The following is a 21,982-nucleotide window of genomic DNA, read 5'->3' as shown; positions in this document are numbered from 1 at the left end:
CCTTTTTCCATTAATCAAAACTTTACAGAGGAGATAGTGATTTTTACCATTCATTCAACTAGTTTGCACAGAGACATGAGAGAAAGAGAGAGAGAGAGAGAGAGAAACCAGAAGTCTTACTGGTAAGAAATTCTTACCCTTGGCCGGGTGCGATGGCTCATGCCTGTAATCTCAGCACTTTGGGAGGCCAAGGCGGGTGGATCACGAGATCCATCCTGACCAACATGGTGAAACCCTGCCTCTAAAAATAAAATATAAAAATAAAAATAATAATAATAATACAAAAATTAGCTGGGCATGGTGGCAAGCACCTGTAATCCCAGATACTTGGGAGGCTGAGGCAGGAGAATCACTTGAACCCAGAGGCAGAAGTTGCAAGTGAGCCGAGATCGTGCCACTGCACTCCAGCCTGGGTGACAGAGCAAGACTCCATCTCAAAAAAAAAAAAGAAAAGAAAAGAAAAGAAATTCTTACCCTTTTGCCAGCATGATGGGTTTCTGGGTTTCCTTTACCTGAATGGCCCTAGTGACCCAGCTGGCTGCACCACAGCTCCCGGGGCCAAGTCACAACACAAAGGAAAATTATCCCTTTCCATGCTGGCTGGAGCAAAATACATGTGACAAAACATAGACATTAGCTACTCTGCTTAGGACCCAATATCAAACTGGCAAGGCTCAAACTTGCCCCCAGTTGGGCCCTGTCTTTGTTAATCCAATCTCCTACCAGTTTCAACTTGTGGTCTCTGGGCAAGATGGTCACCCTGATTAACAGAAAAGGTAGGAAAGAGAATGAGAGAGAGAAAAGCACTGCCTGCAGCAGGGTGGGGAAGGCAAGCAACTCACGGAGACCAGAGAAAGGGCCAACCGTCCCAGCGACACTGAAAAGCTCAGGCAGCCACTTGTCAGTCACAAAGGGATCTTTTTCAGTAGCCACATCAGCTCTCAAGTTTTCCTTTGGGGAGAAAAAGCTCTCCATGTCCCATGATCCTGTACATGCCTAATCCTGTCACCCATAGCCGTCAGCAAAGAGTGCAGGGCAGATTAATCCAAAGAGAATAGCAGTTTACATCCCATACTGCCAAACTTGTTCTTAGCCAATAAGGACTTTACTGAGAGGGGCGTCTAATCCCCTCAATCTTAGGAAGGACTCTAACCTTCCTAAGTTGAGCCTCGAACCCAAGTTCCATCAAGCATCCTAGACTTTTATTAAGTGGGGTCTTTAACCCACTCTGTCTTAGGAGTAGCTCAAACCTCCTTAAGTTGGGCCTCTAACCCAATCCCATCCTTGTCTTGGGTAAATGCACCCCACTTACCCAAAGTCAGCCAACTGGTGCATGCAGATGATTTTCCTTTGGGTTGGGGGTCTCCTCAGTATCGTCCCTTTGGGGTTCACCAGAAAGATGTTACCGGACTCCGCCACTTACCCAAAGTTAGCTTTTGGCTCGGGGATTTCCTCAGTATTGTCCCTTCCCTGGTCACGAGAAAGATGTTACTGGAAAGAAGTCCCAATCCAGACCCCAACGCAGGGTTCTTGAATCTCTCACAAGAAAGAATTCCAGGAGAATCCGTACAGTAAAGTGAAAGCAAGTTTATTAAGAAAATAAAGGAATAAAGAATGGCTACTCCATAGGCAGAACAGCCAGACGTCATCAATTTTTGAACAGCAAATGACCACTCCTCTTCTTCCTTGTTTCCAAAATCTCCATTTTATCCACCTTTTGTCAAGCAGCCATGTACTTCAGGGAGTAGAGAGGGCAGGCTTTAGCCTGCCATTCATGATGGTCTCATTCTCCTTATAGTGGTGGTTTGGACATGGTTAAAGGACACAATTCTGGCCAGTGAGACTTGAGGGGAAGTCTGCTGTGAGTTTCTAAGAATGCCTTTCTACTCTTAAGAATATAAGAGAATGTTCCTTCTTCTGTCTCTTCCTTTGATCAGTGTTATTATGTCTACATGTGATGGCTGGAACTGCAGCAGCCATCCTGCAACCATGAAGTAATACGCCTAAAGGCAAAAACCACAGAACATAAAGACAGAAAGAACCTGAATCTTTGATGATTTCACTGAGCCACTGAACCCTGGAACTGCTTTTTCTGAACATCTCATTAAGTGAAGTAATAAATATCCTTACTTTTTAACCACTCAATTTTTTTATTACATGAAACTGAAACATCTTAACACGTTCAATGCACAATCAGTCCTATTAAATGAATAACTGAACAAATTGATGCCAAAGAGCTCAACCACATCATGAGAGACAGAAAGGCACAGGCTTCTTCATTTTATAGTTTCATTTTATTCCACAGGGATTTGGAGCAACGGGGTATAAGGGAAGAAAAAGAAACTGAAAGAGCACTGGAACTTAGGACAGAAGGAATCTGGTTATTTATAGTAGGGATGGATTTAGAAAGTCCTTACAAACACACATGAAAAAAGTATGCCCAAACTGCAGTCCAGCTGCTCTGGTGGGGGTGGGGGTGCTGATGGAAGATATGAATCACACCTCAAGAAAGCAGAGCAACAATAAAACCTCATCTGGTAATGATGCACACTTAATGTGGATCGTATCTTAGAAACTGCCCCCCATTTGACAGTTACGGCCCTCATGCCAGTTACTTTGTCTTTCATTCTTTAATTAAACAGGATTCCTTTTCTTGGGTTTGGAGCTTGCAAGAACTCCATCTTTTGACTAATTCACCTTCAAATGAGTGCCATGTCTTGATGTATTACCGTGATAGGCTGTACCACACATGTAATCCATCATAGTAGTTAGCTGTTGCTGGGCTTCCAGGATAGAGAAACTGAGCCAGATGTTGTTCTGACACATTGGAGTAATGCATCAACCAAGCCTAGGGCTCTGACGATCTATTACCCCAAGATGGCTCTGGCCAGAATAGAGACAATCCTAGGGCACATGGAGCATTGTGCAGGCTTGACAGAGACCTACTCAGGGCTGAGAAAGACTTCAACACTGAGTGGTTTGAAATAGATATTGGTTTTCCAGACCCAGTTCAGCAGGTTTAATAAGGGGGTACAGAATCATGCACAAGTATTGCTGTCATTGATCAAACTCAGGACATCAATTTCTTACTAATGTATTTCTGAAAAATCAAATCCATCCCCAACAGCATTTTATGTATCTTAATCTTTACTGTTGATGACTAGAATTGTCTTTACACAAATCTTTCAAGTCAGCAAATGATATAGGCCACAGTCCATCATCAGGGCCCCCAGTTGAGTATGTGTAAATAAGAACTGTTTAAATATTCACTGCTGAGAATTTGCTGAAACCATGTACTTCCAGTTTGCTTTTTGTTGCTCAAGTGAACACTTTCACTAGTGTCTACATTGCCTTGGCACACAAGAGCATAAATGAAGTTACCTAAAGCACTGACATAAAATACATAGGAAAGTATAACTATCCCTCATTCAGGCGCTCCCATTTATCCAGCCTTTCCAGGACTTACATGTCTTAAGAGGGAATTGACCCAGAAAATGAGAAGATTTGAAAATGAAATATGAAAAGAGTTCTTAATTCTCAGATACCTGTGTACCTCATTTATCAAGAGACCAAGTGTTTATAAGCAATTCCACAGTTTCTCCAGCATCTTTCAGAAGCCACAAGTCTAGTGAAAGCATTTCCCTGGCTGTGACTCCAATGGCATGAAATGGACCCTTTTGTACCTAAATCTCCCCATCAGCAACATGAGAAATTATTCACAACTGTAGTGAAAAAAAAGATAGAACTTCCTAGAATTGCATGGGTGGGGAGGCAGCACAGGCAATCAAATCTTTTTGGTGACATACCAATCCTGTATATCTTAACAACAAAATTTTAATTTTGCATAAATAGGAGAGTTAGCCAAATAGTAAAGAAAAGTTTGATTCAGGAATCCTTCATTCTTCGCTACACTCTATATAGCCAAAAAATATCATGATTAATATTTCCATAAATAAAACATCCCCAAGTAATATTGTTGGCACTTCAATGGAATTAAAATGGTTATCAGCAATTTCTTATTAGGTTCATTCTCCCTGTCCCTGCCAGTTGAATTAAGGTCTCCCTTTTTATGTAGGCACAGAATGATCACTGTTCTTACATCTCCATCATGAAATGATCATGGGATTTCAGAGGCATTTATCTTTAGGAAAGCAATGAAGGCTTTATCTAGATATGGATATAGTAGGGAGGGTGACCAACTTGTCCCACTTTGCTTGAGAGTTTCCTAGTTTTAGCACTGCATTCTCTTGTCCTGGAAATCCCTCGGTCCTGGGCAAACTAGGACGTTCGGTCACCCTAGCAGTAGGTCCTTAGGAACTCACACTTGGGGGCAGTGTAACTAAGCCAAAAACCAGGCCATTCTGTCTAACCCCTAGACTTCTATTTCCTCCTGTGCAAATAGAAATAAAATGCAATGTAGTGAAAGATACAATCAGAACTAGGTTAAGCAATGGGTTTGTAATAGGTGCACCTTTTCACAAAGGGCCTTCACATAGATTCCAAGAGAGAAAAGAAAGGGATGTAACATTTATTAAGCAGCTATTTTAGTCACTTTACCTATCACATTCATATAATTCTTACCACCCCCAAAATAAGTGCTATTAATAATATGTTTTACAAAGCAGTTTACTGAGACTCAGAGAGGCCTGAGGTCATATAAGTAATGAGTGAGTGGAGAATTAGAGATTTCAGCAAAGGCCTTCCTATTCCTTAGCACAGCTTTGGAAGTAGACAGAAGCCAGGCCAAGTCACTCACACCTGTAATCTCAACAGTTTCAGAGCTAAGGCAGGAGGATCGCTTGAGACCAGGAGTTTGAGACCAGCCTGGGTAACATGGAGAGACCCCATCTCTACAAAAAATTAAAAATTAGCCAGGCATGGTGGCACACCCCTGTAGTCCCAGCTATTCAGGAGGCTGAGGCAGGAGAATCACTTGAGCCCAGGGGTGTTGAGGCTGCAGTGAGCTATGATTGGGCCACTGCACTCCAGCCTGGGCAACAGATGGAGACCCTGTCTTAAAACAAAAAACAAACTAACAAAAAAGAAGTAGACAGACATAGTACGATTACAGAAAGAGTCCTGCCCAAAATAGACTACTCGACTGCCTGTAATTCTCTCCTCATAAAATGTGTTTTCTTTCATCCAGAATATGTTAACAGGCTTCAGTTAAAAGGCAAAAGTTCCTTGTAGGAAACTTTTTCCTTGTAGGGAATTTGAAGGGGTTGAAAGTATTATAAGGTAACATTTTTCTTGTTGGCTAATCTTATAGATATTAAATGACAACCAGCAGAAAGCAGGATGCTGCAGAGGAGCCTCCTGTGGATGGAGTGTTGAAATGCAAGCAGAGGGCCTCAAAGATAGATGAAACCAATACTGAATGCTCTTCTTTTATTATATAATCAAAGGCACAGACTAGGATCTTGCAATAGAATTCTGGTTATATTAGGTTGGTGCGAAAGGTATTGCGGTTTTTGCCATTACTTTCAATGGCAGACACCACCATTACTTTTGCACCAACCTTAGTTCTGCACCCAACCTCTGAGTGGCCTTGGCATCCTGGGTTCCTCAACCACAACCTGAGGGAGTTGGACCAAACAATGGTTCTGAGCATTCCCTTCCTGTCTAAAGCTGTAGACTTCTAGAGCAATGTGGTAGGTTTCTCAGAGTGCTTTCTCAGAGGCCAGTATTCTATTTCTCACCTTGACCTTCAGGATACACACAGGATTTGCAGTCTCCTCATTAACCCCAGAAGCAGCAGAGTGACAGAGTGGAAAGAACATGGGGTTTGGAGTCGTTCTGGGTTGAGATCCTTGCTCTACCATTTGAAGCTGTAACTTTGGGCAAGTTTCGTGACCTCTTTTTTTAAATCACATTACGCTCACCTAAAAAATAGCAATGAACCAACCAACTGGTAGTTGTGTTGGGAGCATTAAATGAAGAAGCACATGCATAACCCAAATGACAATGGCACAAGGCCGTGCAGCCATTTCACTATGAACTGCCCCTCACATAGGACTTCCCAGCTATTTCCAGCACCCCAGCGGCAGCCTCACCTAGGTGCAGAAACAAGCCCCAAGACGGCCCTTCACCTTGGCTTCCCTCTCTGGCCTCCACAGTGATGTCCCAGTTGCCCATCACTGTGCTGTCATGGTCAATGGCTGTCACCAATCCTTCTAATCCTTCCACTCTAACAACAGAGGAAGGGAAATTGTCCCTCGGCCGCACCTTCTGACCTTTCCTAGCTCTACCAATTTCCTTTCCATGGTTAGAACACAGTTCAAGAGAACAGATGAACTTGTCTCCTGCATAAAAATACTGGAGATCCCATTTCATGTAAAAATTACCTTCAATTTAATACTAACCATTCCACTGGAGTCGTCAAATTCCTAGAAACAGAAAGTAGGATGGTGGTTGCCAGGGACTATGGGGAGAGGAGAATGGGGAGTTGTTATATATAGTAGGTACCAAGTTTTATTTTGGGAAAAAACTGGCCGGGCATGGTGGCTCATGCCTGTAATCCCAGCACTTTGGGAGGCCAAGGCAGGTGGATCACAAGGTCAGGAGATCGAGATCATCCTGGCTAACATGGTGAAACCCTGTCTCTACTAAAAATACAAAAAATTAGCCAGGCGTGGTGGCGCGTGCCTGTATTCTCAGCTACTTGGGAGGCTGGGGCAGAACCACAAAACATTTCGGAGGGGGATGGTAGTGATGGCCACACGGTAATGTGAATGTATTTAATGCCATTGAACTGCATACTTAAATATGGTTAAAATGATAAATTTTATGTTATGTATATTTTACCACCAAAAACAATGAAAAATTAACTTATCACAGAAGGACCATAGGTGTTTCCTGAGACTCACTCCCGGATTTCATTTCAGTGAACAGCCAGGCCAACTCTGAACCCTAAGGGAGAAGCATAGAAGGAAGCAAAGAACAGTTCTGGCTCTGGAGGAGCCTAAAATCTGGTGCAGAGAGCTCACTTGCTTGTAAAATAGTGAAGAGAGTCCATGCAGGGAAAGCTGAGCCCACGCCCTGGGATTGTGTGGTGTTTCCAGTACTGCACTCAGACTTAGCAGCCGTCTCGTGTAGGTTTCATGAGAAAATGGTTTCTCCATCACAGCACAAAGAGGTCCTTGGTGCTTCCTTATGATTCTGTTCAGAAAACAATACAGAAAATTAGTCAACTATTAATTAATCATGAGGTTAAGGCACTGGCATCAAACTGCCTAGGTTAAAATGCCAGCTGTGTGATCCGGAGCCATCAACTTGATCTCTCTGTGCCTCAGTCTTCCCATGTTTGAAATGGGAAAAATAAGTATAGTACCTACCTCTATGATCCTTGCATGAAGCAGGTGAAGTGACCAGGTCTCACTTAGCACCTGAAGAGTACTCAATAAATGTCACTGGGTATTATTCCTGGCTGTGCCACCATGCCCCATTCCAAGTTAAGATCAAATTAAACTTGAAGTTTAAGGTTATATGTCTGCCTTCTTAAGTTTCTTTTTTTCTTGGACTGTCAAACTTTCTCCCTGAACAGTGGTTTTTCCAGACTTACCAATCAAAAGACTTTACACTCTTCGTGATTACTTTGAAAATTTCCTTAGAAAATCTCTTTTTATCCATCCAAAGAAATTTTGACATACAAAGAGTAACATTAATATGTAAATTAGCATACAGAAAAATTCATTTTGGTGCCTCCGAGGCAGTATTTTTATAAATACAGAAACATAATTATGCATCCTCTAGAGGACTAAAAATAATTATACAAATTTACAACAAAGCCCAAGGCTGTGTTTCCTTTTAACTGACTGTTTTTAATATCATTTAAATCTTGTTAGAACTTAATTACCAAATCTCTCTTGTAATAATTCAGGTGGAAGATATAAAGTCTAAACTTGCCATTCAGAAAACAGAACCTCATCAGACAAACAAAGACATTTAGGCACTGATTGCCCGAATAGGACAACGGAAGAAATTCTGTCAGGATGGAGCCATGTTGGGCACTGAGACAAAGAGGCCCTCTGAGAAAAAAACATTAATATTCATATATGAGCCATGTTAATTATTTTAATCTATAATTTCTTGGAAGCACATATTATTATCATTGTGGATTATAAACCAAATTAACCATTTCTCCCTCTTTCATTTTCCATATTTTCCTTGTCTTTTTCAAATTAAGGTCAATATAATTTCGGGGCAACATTCTTTTCATAACAATTTAATTACTCCTTCGAAAGTCTGTCTAGAATATGTGTGCGTGTGTGGGTGTGTGTGTGCGTGTGTGGGTGTGTGTGTGCGTGTGTGTGTGTGTGTTTCATATCTAAAGATCAGCTTATGTTAATGTGGAAAAGAACAACGAACAAAGTCAGGAGCTAGCGTCCAATGTATACTCCATTTTAAAGACAATAATTTATTGGCACTTAGAAAAAATGGGCTCCTTATTATGAAATAAAAGGCACAAGAAACTTGAACATTTGACATTTGAACACATTTTCTTTTCTTTTCTGTTTTGTTGTTGTTGTTTTGTTGTTGTTGTTGTTGTTGTTGAAACAGCCTCTCACTCTGTTGCCCTGGCTGGAGTGCAGTGGTGCAATCACAGTTCACTGCAGCCCTGACCTCCTGGACCCAATCAATCCTCCTGCCTCAGCCTCCCCAGTAGCTGGAAGCAAACACATTTTCATTTACCACTAGTTAATAATATTATCTAAGACTTTTATAGCTCCCTGGAAAATTAATTAGTCAATGTATGCTATAAAGACTAATAATTTGTTCATATGCGGTATCTCTAACGTAGGTTGTTATCCATTATAGCAAAACCTGACCAATTAATTTTTCAAGGATCAGTTCCATATATGAAATGTCTATACAAAGTCACAATTCATTCTAGTCACTACAAAATATCCGTCAATTCAGTGAAAAAAATGTTAATCAAAATGATTGTTTGAGTTATTGAATCTCATTTTCAACATTTATTTTGGTTTTGTGTAGGCATATAAATGTACATACATTTGTGCTTATAATACATGGATTTTTTTCCCATTTCAATGGCTTTAATCCCATGGGAAGATATATAATTCCACACTTATTTATATGTAATATACTTGATATGTGTGTGGGTAAAGGCCTTGCTCTTGCTTCTTGTCTTCAAGGACTTTTTAAAATACCTCCTTTGGGCTAGGCTCAGTGGCTCATGCCTGTAATCCCAGCACTTTGGGAGGCCAAGATGGGCAGATCACCTGAGGTCAGGAGTTCAAGACCAGGCTGGTCAACATGGTGAAACCCCATCTCTACTAAAAATGCAAAAATTAGCCAGGCATGGTGGCAGGTGCCTGTAATTCCAGCTACTCGGGAGGCTGAGGCAAGAGAATCTCTTGAACCTTCAAGGCAGAGGTTGCAGCGAGTCGAGATCATGCCACTGCACTCCATCATGGGCAAGAGAGTGAAACTCTGTCTCAAAAAAATAAAATAAAATATCTCCTTTGAATGAATCCAAAGGAAGTATCACTTTGACAGAGAGACCCGGAATGAAGCCTCCAATGGAATGGGTAGATTTTTCTATTTTAACTCATCTTCTTTCACTGATGTGTGATTCTTTCAAAAGTCCTCCCTCTTATATTATATTCTCCTTTTAACATAAAATTACATCATTACCTCCATTCAAGCAATATTTAAGCCATTTATGATTTGGGAAAATTCCAATCTTGCAGTGCTTAAATTTCCAAGTCATGCTCTTGGCTGTCATTTGTAACTGGTCCGACTGGGATCCAAAATAAGTAAATAGACCTGTACAGATTTCATATCTGGAGGAGGGTCTAATGAGCAATAAGGGGAAGCAAAAAGATTAGATCAGTCCCCATGGAAGCTCTAAGCATTGCATAGAAATAAGTGCAGGATGATAACTGAAGAGATTCAAGCACATGAGTTTCCTCTCATCTCTTTTTGTTAGTGATGGCAGAGTGTTACTCAAAATCAGAAGACTAAATATATTGCCTTGGCTGCTAAAAATGAAAATACCTAAAAATTCTTTCTGCAGATACTACACACAAGCCTTATAGCCTGTGACCATCTTTCGTCTTGGCCAGTATGAGAAATCATCCATGATATCTGCCCATTGTACATGTCTATTGCATTTGCCAGCTAATGTTTAGTAACTAGGGCTGTTTGTTCTTCTCAAAAATTTGAACTTTCTCCATTTGTGTTTACCTTCACATCCAAACTCGAACAACTCTGCTCTGAGTTAATTCCCCAATTTCATTATGGCCACACTGGGGAAGGGGAGAGGAATCTGTGTACAAACCACCAGACAGAAAACAATGGGAACAGGCAGCAATCCAAGAGCTTTGGCATGATTTGCAAGAGAAAACCAGCTCTGATTAATGCTATCAAAATGCTTGTCTTTCCTGTGATTGATATTCCAGCCCCTTGTTACAATTATTGATGCTGGTGACCACTATTATGAGAGTCTTTTTATAGTTTGCTGTTTTGGAGGGAGGTTGCATGGACTTCACCAGAACATTTGCACACCTGCCTCAATTTAACCTAAAACCCATTATTTTGCAAACAAAGCATATAAACCCAACATAGCAATCATTGTTTCCCATATTCTGCTATTAAAACACTCCTGCTCATGGTAAGGAGTAGATCTCCTGCTGGCCTACTATAGGAATAGTGTGTAAAAGGCAGCGTGGAGGGTAGGATGCACCATTTGAAGGTTCTTTGGCATATGAAACCTGGCAAACCAAAGACATCATTTGAAATGGTATTGTGTGCCCTGGGGTGGTGACATTACAGCAGGCTGAAATCAGCAGGTATTAAGTTTTATGAATTGCTGATCTTCAGGAGTAAGTGATAAAACAGTCACAAGTATCTAAAAACGCCCTTGCCCTGAAGAGCTTGCCCTGGATACCACAAATGTGCCTAGAAACACTATGCACCTCTGTGCATGGGGTTTGTTTGTTTGTTTGTTTTGAGACAGAGTCTCACTCTGTCACCCATGCTGGAGTGCAATGGCAGGATCTCACCGCAATCTCTACCTCTCAGGTTCAAGTGATTCTCCCAATTCAGCTTCCCGAGTACATGGGGTTTTTTTTTATAAGTTTGATATGAAATGTAAACAGGTTCATTTTCACTCTTAGATTATCCCATTATTCTGGTTAAAATAATTACCAGCCTAACCTTTGTGTTCCTTCTCATTTAAACTTGACTGAACTAACAACTTTTCCTAGTTTCCTGCCTCTGATTCTTACAGGATTGGAATTTTTGGTCTTCCTGTCTCCCCAGGGCAATATTTTAAGTTATAGAAGCCAGAAAACCATAAAGAGAGAAATAAAGTACATTTTATAAGTGCTTTTCCAGTGAAACTCAAATCATTTTTCTTGTAATACATAGGTTTACTAAGGACGTTTAAAGGAACTGGTATTTTAAAAGGAAGACATTTTTAAAAATAAACCTATATACCTTCCAAAAGACTTACTTTCTCTAAAGGGTATTTTTGTTAAATAGTAGTTAATATAAGTGCACAGGATTAAGCTCCCTGCTATATAGCCAGGACTTAGAATTGTGCACAGTATATAGTAGACGTTCAACAATACCTGAATGAATTAATGAATGGAACTGACAGAAATAAGCCTTTGTAGAGGAATGTTCTATAGAAGTTTTTGCCAGTTTGGATTGATCACTATGGGCAGTCAAATCTTGATGAAAATAGATAAGTGAGGTGCACTTAGTCTAGATATCTATCTGTACCAATATCAGATGTGGTTTTCTCTTTCTACTTTTTAGTATGAGATTTTTTAACATATAAAAAGTGAGAAGAAGAATTATAGTTCAAAAGACGGCAATCATATTTGCTTTGTCTCTGTGTGTGTACAACTTGACAGTAATCTACAAACATCTGACACTTTGCCTCTAAATACTTCAGCATTTATCTCTTAAGCGTAAGAATACATGATGATAGTTCTTTAACGAAAATTTAAGAAAACAAAATTAAAGAATAGGATTGTTGGGGAATGACTGATACAATATATAAGAACTCTAAGTCACCAAATTTTGAGCCTAAGTGAATACAGCAAGGCTGAATGGTGGGATTCTGCTCACTGTTCCCAGTTTCCTACAAATGGAAATCCTAAGCTGCTGTGAAATAATCTTGTCTGATTCCCACCCAAGGCCTCTATCATATCTGTCATTTAGGCTCACGTGAAGTGCTCTTATGCACCCTTTACTGCTCTCAGCCCTCAAAGCTTCCTTGTACCATGGCCCTCATTAGGATTTGAAGGAAATTTTCAGTCTCTGACTGCAATAGCTTCAAGTCCTAGTAAAGGACAGTCTGCTTATCAACTGTATTTATAACATAAGATTTGCTCTAATGTTCTCTACTGTACATCGCTGCCAGTTACTTATAGCTAGGAAAGACTTTTTCCCCACCGTTACAGGCTTAGAGCTTTCCCCTCTCTCTCTAAGCATTCTCTCTGAATGCGTATATTCTATATTTTGCACGGAAAAGGAGCTCCCAGAGTGAGATCTCGGCTGAAATGGATGCTCTATGATGCTGAATAGAAATATTATCTCTCACATAATGAGCACCTCCATGCCCAAACTCCCCATTCCCCATCTCATTAGAGCAGCCAAGAGCCTTAGACTTTAACCATTGTTCTCCCTATGTTATTTGAGCTGCATCATATGTATGCGTGTTCTCAACAACATGGATGTCAGCACAACAAATATGGGCTATATTTAATTCGGATTACTCTGTGTAGACTGGAGCTACTGTTTGCATTTTGACTCAGATGTTGAATAATTACATACCAATTCATTGAAGACCTGTGTCCAAGGTTATTTTCTACTACCAAAGGATTTGGAGAAATGTATGTTTCTCCATAGCATCCCTCTCTAACTTGTCTGGGAATTTATCTGGAAAATGAATGTGGGAAACAGTAGTAGCAAGGTTGAGGGAACAGGACTCCACTTTATTCCATAAACATTCACTGAGTGCTTTGCAGATGCTGCCGTCGGGAGCTCTGTATTACCAGCCATGGTCAACCCCACCGTGTTCTTCCACATCTCTGTCGACGGTGAGTCCTTGGGCCGCATCTCTTTTGAGCTGTTTGCAGACAAGTTTCCAAAGACAGCAGAAAACTTTTGTGCTCTGAATACTGGAGAGAAAGGATTTGGTTACAAGGGTTGCTGCTTTCACAGAATTATTCCAGGGTTTATGTGTCATGGTGGTGACTTCACACACCATAATGGCACTGGTGGCAAGTCAATCTACGGGGAGAAAGTTGATGATGACAACTTCATCCTGAAGCATACAGGTCCTGGCATATTGTCCATGGCAAATGCTGGACCCAACACAAATGGTTCCCAGTTTTTCATCTGCACTGCCAAGTCTGAGTGGTTGGATAGCAAGCATGTGGTCATTGGCAAGGTGAAAGAAGGCATGAATATTGTGGAGGCCATGGAGCACTTTGGGTCCAGGAATGGCAAGACCAGCAAGAAGGTCACCATTCCTGACTTTGGACAACTCGAATAAGTTTGACTTGTGTTTTATCTTAACCACTGGACCATTCCTTCTGCAGCTCAGGAGAGCAGCCCTCCACCCCATCTGCTCGCAGTATTCTAGAATCTTTGTGCTCTCGCTGCAGTTCCCTTTGGGTTCCATGTTTTCCTTGTTCCCTTCCATGCCTAGTTAGATGGCAGAGTTAAGTTTGTGATTATGAAATGAAAACTAAATAAGAAACAAAAAAAAAAAATTCACTTCCAGGCACTACTGTAGGCACTGGAGATAGAAAGATGAATCCTTGTCCCCAAAACTCCATAGTTAGTAGAAGACACTAATTTCTTAAGTTGGTTTACTCCAAGTCATTAAGCTATTTAGTCTACTTGAAGATGCAAGAAATTATTAAATTAGTAAATTAATTACAATTTTACTATCTGGCAGCCCTTGGGTTAAATGTTTAGATGCATTATCGCCCTATCAGCATTCAAGTCCACAAAGACCTCAGACGCCAGAATCTAAACAGATACACTGTACTGTTTTCTACTTTCTTGCTTGATAAAAAAGAGACAATTTTGCCTGAAATAAACCCTGCGAATTTGAGGTCATGAAGCCCGTATTTATACCAATTGACTCTTTCAAGTTGGGAACTCTCTACAACGCATATTTCTCTTTCCACAAGTGTCAGATGAAGGTTGGGCAGTTGGTAATTTGGCCACATGATAGTGTGGGTTTGTGTGTGGATACATGTGTGTCTGTGTTTCAGTATGAATCACAGTGATTCTGGTTCTCTTAAAAAGCAAAAAGTAAGTGAATGACACAAGCACATTATTTATGTGGAATATTTATATCCACATATCCCATATAAGGGTAGATTTGGGTCAGACAAGGCTTTCTGTAGCTGTCCTGACTTTTTACTTCACGCTCTAACTTCCATGTTCCCACAGGCTATCAGTGAGAGGAACATGTGGAATACCACTCACCCACTGAGAAAAGACCACCTGAGATGCTCATTTTATTGCAGGACATGAATGTTCACTGAAGAACCCTTGTAGTTGGTCATGTCAGCTTCTAATTCTTATCATAAGGCTCTAAGACTAAGCCAAGAATCAAAATAATACAGCCAGTTTTAATTCATGGGACAACTAACGATTGGCTGAAATAAGATCCCATTTCCAGTGCCAAATGCTGCCAGGACAACACTAATTCCTAGCACAGTGCCTGCCACTTACTTAACATACAAATATGAGAAGGGGCTGGGGGTTGACTAGAAAGATCATCAACCTTGGGGCAGACAAATCAAAGTTCAAATCCTAACTTCTTAGTAGTGTATGACCTTAAACAAGTTATCTCATTTCGGTGACCCCAGCTGTGAGGTACTACTATGTTATTCTACTTTATCTATATTCCCCCAACATAATCCTGTCCCTCAATAAATACACTTTGATGGAAAAAATAGATGCTTACTACTGATTGATTGGTTGCCAATTCAATCAACAATCAATGATATTATGCCAGTTAATGGTACCTGTAAGAATTTTGGAAGCATCTTTATCATTTCCATATTTGTCCCTACTAATAATCTTATTTATAGTATCAAAATCTCTCTTAAGAAGCCAAGAAAAGTGCAAATATCAACCTGTTTTATACAATTTTTAAATGGATTCAGAGAAGTGATGTCACTTAGTCAAGTTGCTATAAAATGATTAACCCTAGAGTGAATAACGAGTTTCTTATTCTGAATTAAAATCCTGTGCTCTCTCCTTAGTTTGTACCAAGACATTGCAGATTCTACTTCACTTCCTGCTGACTCGAGTAACTTCAAGACATAGGATGTGAGAGGTGAAAAGGACCTCAGGTGAAACGACTGAGGTCTACAGAGGATGAGTGACCTGGCTCAGGTCACAAGGGAGGTAAGGAAAATAGTCAGAACTGGGTCCTACCTCCTAACTGCCAGGCCAGGGGCCCTTCTGAAAACCCACATGATGAAAACAGAGAAGGACCCCTTTGCCCTTCATGAGCAATAGAGTCCTATAGCCATAGTGAACGAGACTTGAAAATGAAAGTAAATGGAAAGAAACGGAAAAGAAGCAACTCTTGGCCATCCCAACCTTTTGTTGTCAAATAAGCCTTTAGAATCTCCCTGCTCAGTAGACCCTTGATGGGGATAAGACAGACGCAGAAGCCCAGGGCAGCTCTACTTTACTGGCCAACAGTTACCATGAAAACTAAAGGAAAGAGTGGTCTGGCCATTTCCTGAAGTTTGTAAAATGCTCACCTCTTTCTTTCTCCAGGTTTCCCTGAATATTTCTTCTTTTTATCAGCAAAAGTTTGGTTCATGTTTGTCAACACTTATTAGGATAGTCAGTGGGTGGGGACAAAAAGCAATTCATCCGTCTTTGGCCTAGTTGCAGATAAACTTCTCTCAGTCTGTGGCCTAGTTGCTGATAAATTTCCCTCAACCGTGATGACTATAGCAATATTATAATTAGCTATCATAGAGAGATTTACTCTACTCTCCACCACCCTACCCATGGGGTGTGACCAGCCTCAAGAGGGTCTTCAATCATCTTGTCTTCCTCCTGTCATGACGTCTCCAGCCTCAGGCTAGATCAGCTGCCCGGAGATCTTGCCCCTTACTGCTCTGGACTAATCTCAAATACCTCATACCAATACCAGCCATTTGTGGCTGCTTCCCGCTACCCACCCTCCCAACACACACTTTAACCTGGGTCACCAGCAGATCATCCCTCAACAGACAGGTATTATCTAATCTAACACAAACCCTCCTCTCTTCCCAAGCTTTTCCATGGCACCCTTAGGAACTCACTGATCAGCAAACTTTCCTACACCTTTTTCCACTTCTAAATGTATCTTCCTATGAGATCCTGTCATTTACAACAACATGATGGAACTGGAGGACATTATGTTAAGCAAAATAAACCAGGCACAGAAAGACAAACTTCACATGTCCTTACTCATTCATGGGAGCTAAAACTTAAAACAATTGAACACAGGGAGACAGAATGATGGTTACAGAGGCTGGGAAGTATAGCGGAGCAGGGGAGTGGGGATGGTTAATGAGTACAAAAATGTTAGATAGAATGAATAAGGTCTAGGATTTGATAACTACAGTCAACAATAATTTATCGTACATTTTAAAATAGCTAAAAGAGTATAATTGGATTGTTTATAACACAAAGAAATGATAAATGCTTGAGGGATGGATACCCCATTTACTCTGATGTGATTATTATGCATTACATGCTTATATCAAAATATCTCATGTACCCCATAAATATATACACTTACTAAGTACCCATAAAATTTTAAAATAAAAAAATTTAAAATAAAAATAAATTTAAAAATAAATGTATCTTCCTGCCCAGGGAAGCCAGGCTGTCCTCTGAGGATTCTACTTCCAGCAGCCCTCTCAGCTAAAGACTGCCTCTCCTCTTCCCCAAGCACCTGAAGGCTGGGAGAGGGGTAAATGCTCATCTGGTGCCCCCTTGTAACTTCTCAAATGTCTGATCTTCTCCTTCAAAAACCCCAGCTTTTTTGAAGCCAATCACCAAACTATGCAGCCTCACAAGCCTCTCATTGCTGTGTGCTGGCTGCCTCCTGGTTCATGGAGTCATGGGTGATGTCAGCTTATGACTTACTGCCATAAGCCCCATCATTGACTTTGGAGTCAACCAACATCCTGAGACTCACCTCCTTGTCCTCCTTTGCTCCAGTGACCTTTTCCTCCAGCCCACCTCAGCCATTCACTCACATGGTCGTTGGTCTAGGTCTAGCAAAATATCATCTTCAAACTAGTGTTCCACTATTTCGCTAGACCTAGACCATGTGAAACCTAGACCCTGCCATTGCCAATAACTGCAGCCTTTGGCTCCCAGACACCATGTTCTCCTTGTTCATCTCCCTGACCTCCTTGCTCATCTCTCTGACCTCTGAACATTGGTATGCCTCTTGTATTGTTGGCCTTTTCTCTCCTCTATTCACACACATTCCTGTAAAGATCTCATGCAGTCTCATGGCTTCAGATGAGTTTCAAATTTTTTTAACTTCAGTATAAAATAGAACTGAACTAGAGCTCAGAACCCTGAATTCTAGTCTCATACAGCCAACTGCTTATTCCACACCTCTGCTTTCAAGTCTAAAAGGAATCTCAACCCTGACATGAACAAAACCAAAACCTGATTTGAAACCAAATCTAACTACCCCTCAGTTTTCTCTACCTGAGTAAATATTTATTCCAACCTTCCAGTTGCTCAGGACAAAGTTCTTAGACTCTCCCTTGTCTCCTCTCTGCCTCATGTCCCACTTCCAGCCCATTGGCAAACACTTCTTCTTCTTCCTTCACAACACATCCAAATTCTGGCCAGATTCTCTTCTCCATCGCCAGCACTACTAGCCAGGTGTAGGTCACTATCTGCTTTCACCTGGATTATTGCAAGAGCTTCCCAGCTGGCCTCCCTCCCTCGATCTTGTCCCTCTTCTGTCTCCTCTCAACACAGCAGGCATAGTGTTCCTTCTAAGAGTATGTCTCATCTCTGTTCCAGACCCTCCAGTGGCTTCCCATCTTACACAAGGTAAAAGCCAAATCTTTGCAATGACCTGCAAAGCCCTCCTCAAGCTGGCACATGCTCCATGCAATCTGATCCCTTCCCCCCATCATGTCTCTGACCTCCTCTCTTACTACTCTTCCCTTGCAGAGAGTATGAGCCCTCCGAGATACCCAGGGCACCTCGCTTTAGCCACAGGCCTACCTTGCATCTGTTGTCATTCTGCCTGGACTGCACTTCCTGAGATATCTGTATGTCAATTCCAGTCCCTTCTTTCCAACCTTTGCTCAAATATCCAGCCCAGGCTGGAGTGCAATGGAGCGATCTCAGCTCACTGCAACCTCCACATCCCGGGTTCAAGCAATTCTGCCTCAGCCTCCCTAGTAGCTGGGGTTACAGGTGCACGCTGCCATGCCTGGCTAACTTTTTTTGTATTTAGTAGAGATGGGTTTTCACCATGTTGCCTAGGCTGGTCTCAAACTCCTGAGCTCAGGCAATCCGCCCACCTCGGCCTTCCAAACTGCTGTGATTACAGGCGTGAGCCACAGCACCCAGCCGTCTATTGTACATTTTATTCTATTTCCTGATTTATAAAGTCCATTTATCCAAATCTGCTTTCCAGAGCTTTATTTTTCTGAACCTTTATTTGAAGGTTTATTTATATTTTTACTCTTTAGCTTTTTACTTTTATTTTTTAATATGCATATCCAGAGTTAGAAATTTTCTCTCAGGTCTGCAACCAAATCTAATGTTATTTGATATTATATGGAACCTGTCTTTTTTTATTTTTTTATTGTGGTAAGAACACTTAACATGAAATCTACGCTATTAACAAATTTTAAATATACAATGTAATAATGCTAACCACAGGCACAATGTTGTAGAGCAGATCTCTCAGTCTTGATCACCTTGCATAATGGCAGCTATACCCATTGAATAGAAACTCTCCATTTCTCCCTCTCCCCACTCCAACTCTTCTTCAACTCAACTAATCGCTTACTGTACCCCCATACCCAAGCGGCTAAATGTTGCTGGAGAAAAGTCACACAACCAAGGCTATCAGGACCCATTTCAAATTTATGACCAAAAATCTTCAGTGAGCACTCAACACTATCTGACAACTAAACTTCCCTAGTAAATTCATTAACCTACTCCCAAGATGACTATTACACACTTTCTCCTCAGTCCTCAAATCTCCAACATCTCCTCCCACTCAACTTCAGCCGAAGACTTTGTCATATATTTCATGCAGAAATATAGATGCAATCATGTGAAAACCATTTCAACTTCCCACCTTCATTCCACAAGCTTATTCATATCTGTAGTCACATGCTCTGGTAAACTTGTGCCCTATTTCCCAGCTTGCTCTCCTTCTCATGAGCTGGGCTCCTGAAACAGTTTCTTCTTTTCTGTATCATCTATTCCTTCCTAAACTAAATCTTTAAGCACTAGCTCCTCCAGCAATTTTTTTTATAAGTCTCTTCTCTGGCTACACTTTTTTCTTTAGTGATTCCAAAAGCCCCCATGTCTTCAAATATCATCCAAATGTTGATGATGCCCAAATTCATTTTACTAGTCCAGATCTCTTTCCTGAGGTTTAGATTTGCATGTATAAATACATCTTTATTACATCTCTGTACGTTTAATAGGTGTCTTAAATTAACACGGCTGAAACTGAGCTATTGATCTTCTCTATCAAAAAAAATCATTCCTAAATTATTTTCCTATCCTAGTACCACCATACACCCAATTTCTCAGGTCAAAACCAGAGTCATCTCCTTGGATTTCTTTCTCTCAACTCTGCATTCAACCCCACAGCAAGCCCTGTCAGCATGACCTTCAAAAATTTATCCTGAATCCAGACTCTTCTGGTCATCTCCACTGCAAATTCTTCAGTCTACACCATCGTCTTCTCTCCCTTGGACCACCAGAAGAGCAACAAACAAGAAAAATGAGTTAAATATACAGCATGTTTCATAGTGATAAGAGCTAAGGAGAAAAAGTAAAGCAAGGAGTCGGGGTAGAAAGTGTTGGATTGAAGGGGTTGAAATTTGAGCCAGTGCAGCTATGGGAGTCTCAGGCTTTAAGATGGGAATATGCCTGCTCATTCAAGCACCAGTAGAAGACACGTGTGGCTGGAGTAGTTAAAGGCTGGGAGAGGCAGGAGATGAGCTCAGAATGGTCATGAATGACAGGGGTGTGGGGCAGCCCCGTGGCCAGGACACACAGAGCCTGGTAGGTCACGGAACGGACTTGGGCTTTCACTTTGAGTGAGGTGGGGAGCCATTGAAAAGTTTTGAACGGAGAAATGGCTTACTTTCAACAGGAGCATTCTGCCGTGGTGTTGAGAATAGATTACAGACAGCAAAGGTGCAAGTGGGGGGTCAGTTGAAAATAATCTATTACAGAAAGTAATCTAGTAATTGCAGTATTGCTATAATGTATTCTACAGTAATCCAGGTGAGAAATGTGGCTTTGACCAAGATGGTGGCAGTGGGGTAGGGTTTAGTGAAAAGTGCCAGAATTTTGGAGATATATATATTAGTTCTTATATATATAATAGCTCTTATCACTATGATATATATATATATATATATATATACACACACACACACACACACACACACACATACATAAACATAATCTTCAGTTAGGGCTAGGAAGAGTTGCTGAGAGACCAAAAGTGGGTGTGAGAGTAAGAGAAGAGTCAACAACAATGTCTCCAGCATTTCTGGAGACCTTTTGTCTTCACTTCGCTTATTCCCAATTAATAATTAGAATAATCCATGAGGAAGGCTGGCAGGCTATGGTCACAGTGGGTGATGGGAACCTGGATGGGGTCCTTGCAGGAAGTCTTGAGGTATGCTTGGACCCTGGCTTCTGGGACATGTCAGGAGAAGGGAGCATTGGCTTTTCCATCATCAAGCCAAAGATGCCCCTCTTTGGGGGTATCTTTAGTCCCAAGGAGATGCCTCCTTGGACGTCTGCTTCTCTCTCCAACCTGCATTCCTTTGATCAGTCAACCCAGGAGGTGGAGCTGGGCCTGGACTTGGAATTCCCACTATGAACCTGGAAAATGTTCATAAAACAAAAACAAACACAAAGCCAGAAGTTTGAAAATGGCCGGTGGATAGCAGAGACAGGGATTAGTGGAGGTGTGGACCGGAGGGAGGCCCAGTGCCTTCACAGGCAGAACTAGCAACTGGAGGAAGAGAACAGTCTCTTGCAGCTGAAAGTGGACATCCTGCTGGACATGTTTTCAGAGACCACTGCTAAATCCCTTTTAATGGAGAAGGAATTGGATGCATGGAAGAGTGTCAGCCAGAGGAGAAAATGAAGACCCTAAAGACTTTCGTTAGGAGAGCAGGGAGAAAGCCACTGATCAGGGGAGTAGATGTGGCTAAGCAGGGTTTTTTTATTTGTTTGTTTGTTTTTTTTTTTTTTTGCGGGGGGGGTAGGGGTTGTTTGTTTTCTAGCAGACTAGCGGATTAGGTCCTGAGAGACAGTATCATATAATGTAGCCAATAGGCACTGATACCCTTGGGTTGGCAATAAGATGGTGAAATTTAATGGAGGAAACCAGGCCTCCAGGCCAGGGCAGTAACCAGAAAGTCACTCCAGATGCACTGCTAGGGATGCCAGCCTGTAAAGAAAACCTCAGGGAGATCTGGGGGTGATGATAAGCCTTGGGGTGCCCTCCACACATGTAAGCATGCAAATGTCCATGTCCCAGAATCACCATGTTGGACGGACACCATCGGGAGAAGCAGCTGGAGCTCATCATCTCATCCCCTTTAGTGTTTGGGGCACTACGCCAGTTCAAAAGAGCCCATATTAGGGCTGCTTGGATGAGTGGCTCTCTTGGTTCTCTGCCCCTCTGACCACTCTCTCCCTGTCCTTACAGAGTACTTGTTCC

The 21,982-nt window shown here is 41.4% G+C and overlaps 2 pseudogenes; both read left to right on the top strand.

The window, feature by feature from the left end:
* PPIAP66 (peptidylprolyl isomerase A pseudogene 66) lies at positions 12,998-13,740 on the top strand (annotated as a pseudogene).
* CBY1P1 (CBY1 pseudogene 1) lies at positions 20,999-21,379 on the top strand (annotated as a pseudogene).

This window comes from Homo sapiens, chromosome 2, assembly GCF_000001405.40.
Source record: "Homo sapiens chromosome 2, GRCh38.p14 Primary Assembly".
NCBI classification, from domain to species: Eukaryota; Metazoa; Chordata; class Mammalia; order Primates; family Hominidae; genus Homo; species Homo sapiens.
The sequence above is the reverse complement of the archived record's forward strand: the minus strand, read 5'-3'. Positions and strand labels throughout refer to the sequence as shown.